The sequence below is a fragment of the Homo sapiens genome, chromosome 4 (assembly GCF_000001405.40).
Source record: "Homo sapiens chromosome 4, GRCh38.p14 Primary Assembly".
Taxonomy (NCBI): domain Eukaryota; kingdom Metazoa; phylum Chordata; class Mammalia; order Primates; family Hominidae; genus Homo; species Homo sapiens.
In genome coordinates this window covers 15,933,356-15,944,464 of record NC_000004.12, presented here as the reverse complement: position 1 = coordinate 15,944,464, position 11,109 = coordinate 15,933,356, and the positions used below count along the sequence as shown (strand labels likewise).

At 44.0% G+C, this 11,109-nt stretch overlaps 1 protein-coding gene across 1 annotated transcript; it reads left to right on the top strand.

Moving 5' to 3' along the window:
- Window positions 1-5,724: 5,724 nt before the first annotated feature.
- On the top strand, window positions 5,725-8,888 carry FGFBP1 (fibroblast growth factor binding protein 1). Its single transcript, NM_005130.5, has 3 exons — window positions 5,725-5,778; window positions 5,994-6,214; window positions 7,813-8,888. Exon 3 carries the CDS (start codon window positions 7,833-7,835, stop codon window positions 8,535-8,537), a length of 705 nt encoding a protein of 234 aa, NP_005121.1. The 5' UTR covers window positions 5,725-5,778; window positions 5,994-6,214; window positions 7,813-7,832; the 3' UTR covers window positions 8,538-8,888.
- The last annotated feature ends 2,221 nt before the right edge of the window (window positions 8,889-11,109 follow it).

The following is an 11,109-nucleotide window of genomic DNA, read 5'->3' as shown; positions in this document are numbered from 1 at the left end:
ACCAACCATTAAACATTGTTTCTAAAAACATGTTGATATGATTCCACTGCTGGGTATATACCCAAATGAAAATCATTCTACAAAAAAGTAAATAAATAAAAATTTAAAAAAACAATATGCACTCATATGTTCATTGTGGTAATATTCACAACAGCAAAAACATGGAATCAACCTGGATGCCCATCAAAGGTGAATTGACAAAAGAAAATGTGGTACATATACATTATGGGATACTATCTATGCAGCCACGAAAAATAATGAATTGTGTCCTTTGCAGTAACATGGATGCAGCTGGAGGCTATTATCCTAAACAAATTAATACAGGAATAGAAAACCAAATACTGCATGTTCTCACTTATAAGAGAAGGAGCTAGACCGAGCACAGTGGCTCACGACTATAATCCCAACACTTTGGGAGGCCGAGGCAGGCGGATCATGAGGTCCGGAGTTCGAGAGCAGCCTGGCCACCATGGTGAAACCCCGTGTCTACTAAAAATAAAAAAATTAGCCAGGCATGGTGGCAGGTGCCTGTAATCCCAGCTGCTCGGAAGGCTGAGGCAGGAGAACTGCTTGAAGCCAGAAGGTGGAGGTTGCAGTGAGCCAAGATCGTGCCACTGCACTCTAGCCTGGGTGACAGAGCAAGACTTTGTCTCGGAAAGAAAAAAAAAAGAGAAGGAGCTAAATATTAGGTAAGCATGGACATAAAGATGGCAAAAATAGGGCTGGAGACTACTAGAGTGGGGAGAAATGGAGGGGGGCAAGGTTAGAAAAACTACCTACTGGGTACTATGCTCACTACCTGAGTGATAAGATCATTTGTACAGCAAACCTCAGCGACATGCAATTTACCCATGTAACAAATCTACACATGTACCCTCTGAACCTAAAATAAAAGTTAAGAAATGTGTTAATATTATGTGGTTAATAACAACATTCTTTCTAAAGTAAATAAACTTAATAGGTTTTCACCTTGCAATCATACCCAATACTATAGAATCCACACTCTGCTATCTCTTCATTTTCTAAAGAAATAAAACTTTCATTGTCCTGAACAGGAATCCTGAAATCTCATGATGAATGAGCACTTTAAATTTGGAATGCAAATATTCTTTTTTTTTTTGTCTCACTTTGTCGCCCAGGCTGGAGTGCAGTGGCACATCTCGGCTCACTGCAAGCTCCGCCTCCTGGGTTCACGCCATTCTCCTGCCTCGGCCTCCTGAGCAGCTGGGACTACAGGCACCCGCCACCATGCCTAGCTAATTTTTGTGTGTGTGTGTGTGTTTTTAGTAGAGACAGGGTTTCACCATGTTAGCCAGGATGGTCTCGATCTCCTGACCTCATGATCCGCCTGCCCTGGCCTCCCAGAATGCAAATATTCTTGAGTAGGTCTAAGATTAATGCTTTTTGCCAGATGAATTAGATTTTACTGATGTTTGCTTAGCCCAATTTCCTTATTTTCTGATAATAAATGTATTTTAATGCACATTATTTGCCCAACAAATTAATATTGCTTTAGTGCAGCAGCTCAGCATTTGCAATGTCTGTTTGTAAAGTAACGTTTGAAGGAAGGGTTGATTTTTGACAACTTTGGCCTGGCAATAAGTTTGGCACAGTTAAGACTTACCTCAGAACCAAATTGCACCCATTATATGAATAATCTCTGGTGACTGCATAAGTAGGGCCAGGCCTCTAGGTCAAGAAGCTATGTGGTAGTAACAGGCATGAGAGTAAAATCAGCTTTTGAACTTCAAATCCCCAGCTGGTGACCAGACATGCATTCAATTACCAGCCTTAGCCAGTGTGTTTTTACCAATTGTGTTCAGACTTCCTTTCACAATCCCAAAGAAAGTATTCATCATTTAAGTTTTGTGTGATCATGAGAAGAATAACATGATCCCAATCTAACCAGAACATGCCAGACAATTTCCAAATTAAGGACATTCTCAAAACACCTAACCAATTCTTCTGCAAACTGCCATAGTCATCAAAAACAAGCAACATCTGAGAAACAGCCATAGCCAAGAAGAACCCAAAAAGTCACGATCACTAAATGCAACCTGGTGTCATGTTGGGATCCTGGACAGAAAAAGAACATTAGGAGCTGAAAATTTAATTCTACACCAAACCTGCACATGCATGTTTATAGCAGCTCTATTCATCACTGTCAAAATTTAGAGGCATCCAAAATGTCCTAGATGAATGAACAAATGAACTCGGGTACATCCAATCAATGGAATTTTAGTAGTAGGTGAATGAATAAAGGGACTTGGATATATCCAATCTTTGGAATTTTATCAGCACTTAAGAGAAATGTGCTATCAAGTTATGAAAAACATAGAGAAACCTTAAGTGCATATTACTAGGTAAAAAAGTCAATATAAAAGGTTACATATTGTGTGATTCCAACTATTTGAAATTCTTAAAAAGATAAAACTGAGGAGACAGCAAAAGGATGAGCATTGCCTGGGGTTGTAGGGGATGGAGTGGTAAGTAGGCAGAACACAGAGAATTTTTAGGGCAGCTAAACTATTCTGTATGATACCATAGTGGTGGGTACCGTCATTATACCTTTCTTAGTTAATTGATATTATGCATGTCATTATACATTTCTCAAAACCCAAAGAATGTACAGCACTTAGAGTGAACCTAATGGAAATGATGGACATTGGGTGATAATGACATGTTAATGTAGGTTTATTACTTACAGCAAATGTACTACCCTGGTTCATGATGTTGAAGGTAGGGGAGACTGTGCCTGCGTGTGGGGAGGGGTATATGGGACTTTTGATACTTTCCACTCAATTGTGCTATGAGCATAAAACTACTCTAAAAAATAAAGTCTGTCAATAATAATAATAATAATAATAAAAACTAGAACAACAGGTAAATCCTAAGCAAGTCTGAATAAAGTATGGACTTCAATTGACAATAATGTATCAATGTTTGTCAGTTGTGACAAACGTACCATAGTAATGTAACAGGTAAATAGGGAACCCAGGTGAGAATTGGAATGATAACTATCTTTGCAATTCTCTGTAAACCTAAAATTATTCTAAAACTTTAAAAAAAAATTTAAAGGGAAGGTATGAAGGGGCAAAGAGAGGAGAATTCCACAATTTATCAGTGTATGCGTACACTGCCTCATTTGTGTTTAGAATGATAGCAGCGGCCTCCAGATAATTCTTCTCTAATTGTGTGTCAGACACTGTGCTTAGTCCCCCTAAGCCTTGCCTCCACATCTGTCCCATGAGGACCTGGGCCGACTTTCCTCCTGGGGTTCTTGTGCAATGGGCCTTTATGTACTCATCCCCAAGAATTACAGAGCCCCTCAGTGCTGGGAGCATGGGGAGGTGGAGGGGCCTGAAGTTACTGGAACCTGCTATGCACTGCGTGGCTGGGGCTCCATGTCCTCTGCAGTCTCCCCAGAGCCACTGGAAAAGGACATCGTTTCCTTAGTTCATGGAGATACGAAGAAAGCTTGGGAAACAGCCTTAGCACAGTGCCTGGCACGCTGTAAGCTCATTGGAGGAAGTGTGCCATTTCTCCCCGTGGACATTCTTAAAGATGTGGGTGGCATGCAGGGCGTCAGGAGCCAATGACACCAACAGAGAGGGGCTCGCATTGGAGCCTGGCCTTGAAGGATGAGGCGGTGTGTGCCAGGCAGAGAAGGAAGGGAAGGGGATCCCAAGTGCAGGGAACAGCAGAGGCAAAGGCAGGAAGTGGGCGCATGCATGGAGTATCTGCAAATGGTGGGACAGGGTTTCAGTGTGGCCAGATTGCAGTGTGTGTGTGCATGTGTGTGTGTGTCTGTCTCTGTGTGTGTGTCAGTGTCACTGTGTGTGATTCTGTGTGTGTGTGCCTATGAGTATGTGTGTGAATGTGTCTAGGTGTCAGTATGTGTGTGTCTCTGTGTGTCTATGAGTGTGGTGTCTTTGAGTGTGTTTGTGTGTGTTTGAGTGTGTCAGTGTGTGTTTGTGTGTGTCTTTGTATGTGTGTCAGTGTGTATGTGTATTTATGTGTCTGCGTGTGAGTACCTGGAAATGAGGTTGGAAGGGCAGGATGAGCCAAGGAGGTGACTGCCCCACAGCCTGCTCTGATGCTGTGCTGCTGAGTCTAGAAGGGAAAGAGCAAAGCAGACGCTGGGATGGGAGTCACAGGAAGGGGAAGGGCCACAAGGAGCCAGTGGGGAATGTGCAGTGTTACCTGGCAAAGCTCAGAGAAGCACTTCCCAGAAAGACCCCGGAGTCCACATGTTTCCTTGTAAATATGTTTTGTGTTCCAACTGCAATCTGCCTCCAGAAAGAATCTGCCTGCCTCCCAAGGATCAAGTAGAATTTTCCATTTTGTAGGAGACTCCCCTTGTTGAGCAAAGCAGCTTTGCCTTGCCTATGTCCAAATAATCCTCCAAAATACCGCATGAGAGAGCCTGTTCGTGGAGGTCAGGGCCTCAGCGGGGTGTTTGTGAGGATAGTGAGGACGGACCCCTGGGTGAGGCAATTTTAGGAGAGAGGCACACAGCTTCAGAAATGGCTTCTTCCAACAGATTCATGCAGAGACTGAGCCTCTGAGTAAATTGGTCAACATCTATAGCTATGACCACGGAATTCTCAAACAGGTGGATCGTTCATAAAATCCAAACACAGTTACAAGTTTTGGCCTGCATAGTGTTGAGCTACAGCTTTATTTTTAGAAAATTTTAATTAGCTGCCAACCAATTTCATATAAACACATCTGGATTTGGGGATGTCATTTTAAAAATCAGACAGTGTGACAATACTGAGCCTAATCCCTGCATTTTCTCAGTCAATTGGAGATGAGTGTTGACCTCTATGGAGGCAGAGACTCTCTAGTTTGCCACAGTCCCCATCACTCCCTATTGCCTTATCTCAAACCCAAAAGTCAGTTGCCATTTAATATCACACTAAACAATAGTTTTCTTATGGCTGAATTAAGGAAAAGTGAACAATTTCTTCTTCTGAAAATCTATGAAAGGTGAGGTGATAATATATAATGAGGGCCACATCTTCCCTGTAGAAGTGAGTTTCTTTTTAAATGCTGCATATGTAAATAACAAATGTCTGTTTTCAAAGTATACAACTTAAGACCCTGTCATGAGGCAAAACGATTCTGCTCCACTTTATGTTAACAGCTTAGCCCAGTAAAAATTTAGTATGCAGCTATAAAGGAGACGTTGTTATTGTCAGCACACTGCAAATGGATGATGGGAGAGGCTAAGTGGTTTGGGCATAGCACTCAGCTAAACACATGCTGTGGCCAGGATTCCACCTGGGTCATTCTGGTGTGGGACTGTGCCTGTAGCAGGCAGGGCAGCCTGAGCTCTCTGAATGAGACCTGAAGGTAAGTATTTACAACAGTAATCTTATATTAAAAATTCCCTCTTTACCAGCCTCTCAGAGCCTGGTAGAATTCCCTGATAAAAAAGAGGGAATTTTTAATGTAAATTTCCCTGCCTCTAGAATTAGGGTATCCTCTGCTTATGTAGTAACTTCAGATGGAAAAAGGAACTCAGACACTACGAAAACTTCGGCAACTTCAGTCACCCATTCAACAAAGATTTATTGAGAGTGGCAGGCAGGAAGAGATCAGACCATGGATGTAGAGAATCTCACTTTTAATTTTGAGATGTTCCTTTTCCTGCCTCTGTGAACTTGGACAAGCTCTTACATATCTCCAGAACCAATTCCTGCTTTTGTAAAAGGGGAGGAATCATTGCACTCCCTACTAGAGCGGATGTGATGAGGGAAAAGGAGAACTCAGGTAAAATGGGCTCAGTAGTTTGGCAGCTCGGATCATGTCATTATAGTTATTTTACTCCTCCATAGACATCACTGCTGGGGTCCTCTCCCCATCAAGGAGGGTCACTGTGAGGCTGAGTTGTCCTCCTATCCTGGCCACAGGGTGGACAGGGAAGGGCCTAGAGGAAGCGTTTGATGGCATGCAGGTAACCCCCCTTTTCACTGGATTACATCCAGCACTTTCCCTGCAGGAACCGGCTCCCTCGGAGGGGCGTGGCTGGGAGGAGCTGTGAGTAACGTGCCACAGTGTTGTAAAAACCCAGTGAGTGTTATAAAAACCCAGTCAGCCTGGCTCCTGTTGAATAGTCTACCCCCCTTGCACTCTACCTGACACAGCTGCAGCCTGCAATTCACTCGCACTGCCTGGGATTGCACTGGATCCGTGTGCTCAGAACAAGGTAAGAGCCTCGCTCCTTTAACAGCTTTATTACCTGCTGCCACTTCTCACTCCACCAAGGGCCTGGAGTTCCTTGGGCCTGCATTCCATCATGGGCAGGTGGGGGCTGAGCCCCAGGGCCGTGAGAAATGACTGGGTGTTTTTCTGGCATATCCAGTCTCCTCTTCACCATTTATTGCTGTTCTCTGCCCTTTTGTGATTGTCTTTCTCCTTCTTAACCCTAGAAGATGGCCAACTTCTAGGGTAGAAATCAGATCAGGACCATTTCCTGGGTCTGCCTCTTTTTATAAAAAATTCTGTGTTTTGTTTTAAATGGAGCACAAATAATACAAATCATCTTATCATTATGTGTTATATGAAACTAAATTGTCATTGTTCATAGTTGTTTTTCTTATTCTTTGGCAATGTTTTTAAAGGGCAGAGTAAATGTGAAAAGCAAAAAGTGATCAACCAGGGGTGACAGAAAGGAATAAGGAGATTGATCTGGCTACCCATACCAGCTTTGAACTTGCCCACTATGAGATCCTGAGCAATTTACTTACCTGTCTGAGCCTTAAGAGTCAGAGCTGTCACCTGGGATGACATATTAATAGCTACCTGGAAGAGCTCTTGTGTGGATTTCACAAGGTGGGAATCAAACCCTAGACCAGTACTTAGCACACAGGAGGTGTCATATAGAAACTGACTTCTCTTCTTCTGTTAAGCATGGGTTTTTATTGTACACATGATCAGATTCATGCAGTTCAGTGTGACGTTGGTGTTCATCCTATTGATTCAATGATTTCTCATGATCCTTGTCTTCGATCTTGTAGTGTGAACTATCTGGTTGAAATTCACCTCTCTCCACCCTGATTCACTTTGCCCAGGCAAATCAGACAACCACCCCACCTCACACCTTTCCTTAAACTCTTACTTCCCCACAAAAAGCTCCCCCACCCCCACAACCCCACCCACCCCACCCAAACCCCAGGCATGTTCAACTCTGGGTCAACATCACCTTTCATGATGCTTACCACATCCTTTCTCATTTTGGGCATCTGTCATGTCTTTTCTCATTTTGGGCATCTGTGTCCATATGGAGTCATGAGATAGAAATCCAGCCCTTTGGAGCTGAAAGTTTGGAGCAGTAACTTGTTTCATATCAGAAACAGAGATGACGGGATAGATTCCCTGATCAATGCTATTTAAATTCTCCCAAAGAGTGGTCTCTAAGCTCTTTCAAATCTGAGGCTTTCTCAATCATGGTGATTTCTTCAACACCTAGTCTGGTGGGGGGCATATAGTAGGTGCTCAGTAAATGCTTGTTGAATGAGTGAATGAAAGAGTGAGGAGTGAGCAGATGCAGGAGTTAATGAGTGAATAAATGATAAATGAGAGTTCGTGAGGCTCCAAAGAGTGGTACTTTTGTGACACTCAAGACTCAAGTCAAGTGGAAATGTGAGTAGACAGGCTGTTTGTCTAGTGACTCCAGGAGCCAGAAGCGTTCTTGGTCTACTCTGAAATCATGTAGGCACCTGTCAGGGTAGGGGGAGGCCAGCGTGTAGTCCTGCACAGCTGAACTGCTGCCTGCCACTGACTCACTTGCCTTTTGTCAAACAGGTGAACGCCCAGCTGCAGCCATGAAGATCTGTAGCCTCACCCTGCTCTCCTTCCTCCTACTGGCTGCTCAGGTGCTCCTGGTGGAGGGGAAAAAAAAAGTGAAGAATGGACTTCACAGCAAAGTGGTCTCAGAACAAAAGGACACTCTGGGCAACACCCAGATTAAGCAGAAAAGCAGGCCCGGGAACAAAGGCAAGTTTGTCACCAAAGACCAAGCCAACTGCAGATGGGCTGCTACTGAGCAGGAGGAGGGCATCTCTCTCAAGGTTGAGTGCACTCAATTGGACCATGAATTTTCCTGTGTCTTTGCTGGCAATCCAACCTCATGCCTAAAGCTCAAGGATGAGAGAGTCTATTGGAAACAAGTTGCCCGGAATCTGCGCTCACAGAAAGACATCTGTAGATATTCCAAGACAGCTGTGAAAACCAGAGTGTGCAGAAAGGATTTTCCAGAATCCAGTCTTAAGCTAGTCAGCTCCACTCTATTTGGGAACACAAAGCCCAGGAAGGAGAAAACAGAGATGTCCCCCAGGGAGCACATCAAAGGCAAAGAGACCACCCCCTCTAGCCTAGCAGTGACCCAGACCATGGCCACCAAAGCTCCCGAGTGTGTGGAGGACCCAGATATGGCAAACCAGAGGAAGACTGCCCTGGAGTTCTGTGGAGAGACTTGGAGCTCTCTCTGCACATTCTTCCTCAGCATAGTGCAGGACACGTCATGCTAATGAGGTCAAAAGAGAACGGGTTCCCTTAAGAGATGTCATGTCGTAAGTCCCTCTGTATACTTTAAAGCTCTCTACAGTCCCCCCAAAATATGAACTTTTGTGCTTAGTGAGTGCAACGAAATATTTAAACAAGTTTTGTATTTTTTGCTTTTGTGTTTTGGAATTTGCCTTATTTTTCTTGGATGCGATGTTCAGAGGCTGTTTCCTGCAGCATGTATTTCCATGGCCCACACAGCTATGTGTTTGAGCAGCGAAGAGTCTTTGAGCTGAATGAGCCAGAGTGATAATTTCAGTGCAACGAACTTTCTGCTGAATTAATGGTAATAAAACTCTGGGTGTTTTTCAGAAATACATTCAAACATTGCTTGGTTTTCTCTGTGTCTGGTCCCAAATAAACTCATTAAGTAGTCCCCATATATCAATGGAAAAACAATCTAAACAGGAACTTCCAGTTCCCCACCCTTCGCAAGTTATCTCTTTCTGGAATCCTTCTTTATAATTGTATCCATTGGTCAGTGGTGTTTGGTGTTTATTGAAGTATAATAACTAGGATCCCTGTTTTCAGGTGGGACACCTGGTATATAATGTGATTAAATCATTTGTCAGGGACTCATAGATGGTAAGAGGGCCGGTAGGATTGGAACCCAGGAGCTCTGACAGCTGAGTCTACAGGGTTGAGGAACCTCCGCTACTGATTCATGTCAGAGCTGCCCATTCCCTCCCCCACCCGAAAGACCCCGGCCTTGCAAAGCTCAATTCTGGAGAAGAAATGAGTTTCATTCCTTCATTCTTCATTCTTGGAGAAGAAAGGCCTAGTTAAGTACAGTGGCCCAAGATAAGGGCTATAAAGGAAGGGGGAGAGGGCTACAAGGAAAACCAGAGAGAGAAGGCAGAAACTGCTGTAAGATCTGGGCTTGAGTGTAACAGGGGAGGGAATAGTGGAGCTGGATTTTGGAAAGAGTATCTGTGGGAATAAAATGGGGCAAAGTGGAGGCACTTTAGGCATTTGATAACATGAATGAAAGTGAATAGATGGGAAGTTTCAGATTCTGGGAGAGGTCAGGTGTCTGGGATCGGATGGGATGCAGCGATGAGACTGCCATTATTCATTTATATGTTAGTATGAAGGATCTGAAAGTTGTATTTTAAGAGTGGGGGAGAGAGGATGAACTGTCTCCAATGCCTTGTCACAATTCCACAACCAGGGAAAGGAGGAGCAGAAGCTGACGAAAGCACTGTTCTTTAGCATGTCTGATGGTGGCAGGGAGGAATGGCAGGTGGGGGGGAAGGAAAGCCTTTTACATTCACCAACCTACTGGGATGCACACTGAGGACGTCAGAGGCCAATCCACAGTGCCACAGCCTCAGAGTGACATTTGGATGTCATCATGATCATCAATAAAAAGAGCACTTATCTCTTACCTGCTATGAGCAAGCACTGTTCCAAGTTTTCCCATGGATAGTGGATTTATTCATTCACTCACTCACTCAACACATAACTTACAGAGCACTGACTCACTCCAGGTTGTGTTCCAGGTGCCAGAGATACAGCAATGGATGTACAAGAGACGAGTGTTCTGCCCTCATGGAACAGTGGGAAAAGTGATGATGAGCTCATGATACATGATACACGATAGAGAAGACTATTAAAGCAAGGGAAGGGGATAAAGTGATCGAGGGTAATGAGCTTTAGATGGGGTGGAGAGGAAAAGCCTCTCTGTGGTGGTTACTTTTGAGCTTAGACCTAAAAAGAGGAATCTCTTTTTAGCCAGGGAACTCTCCTGGGTAAGCATGTTCCAAACAGAGGGACCAGTCAGAACATATGCCCTGAAATCATGGTTAATCTATTTATTCAATCCTATTTGTCCCTTCTTTTTGCCAGGAACTCTACCATAGGTGAGAAATAGCAATGAAGGAAAGAGAAAAAAGAAATCCCTGTCTTCATGGCACTTCCATTCCCATGACAGGGATCATGCTTGGCATGTTAGAGAAATGTCCAAGAGGGTGGGGTCATTGTAGGATGGGGCCTGGGGCCTGACCTGTGAACCTTACCACCAACTCCAAGAGCACTGAAGCAACATTCCAGACCCTCCCCAAGCTCCTTCAAGCCACAGCAAAGAAAGGATATTTTCCCTTAAGGTCTACACAGGTTCTCAGCCCTGTGGCCCCCTCCTCCACATATGTAACATAGCCCTGAGATAGAAAAAGAATAATAATCTCCTCCAGGAGTCACTCAACAGTCATCAGGTTTGTTATGGGTTGGCAAGAACATTGGAGAACAGACCCAAAACCTCCTTAAACTCCTCCAGGCCCGCAGTTGCTGGTTTGAGTTCACTCCTGGCCTCTGGTCACTGGCAGAACTGGAAGGAGTTTTGCCTCTACCATGGAAGAGTGACCTGGATCTCAGCACAAAGTTTGCTTCTGCTGATAGATAACCAGTCTCAGGGCCAATTATTTAATCTTCTGAGCAGAAATGAGCTCATCTTGACAATGGAATCATGAAACCCACCCATTATTAAGGGTCCTGAAACACTGACATTGGTCAATATCTCTGAATCTCTTAATACTATGC

Excerpts from the sequence above, each read along its gene's own strand:
- FGFBP1 (NM_005130.5), top strand. The coding sequence starts at position 7,833 with ATGAAGATCTGTAGCCTCACCCTGCTCTCCTTCCTCCTACTGGCTGCT.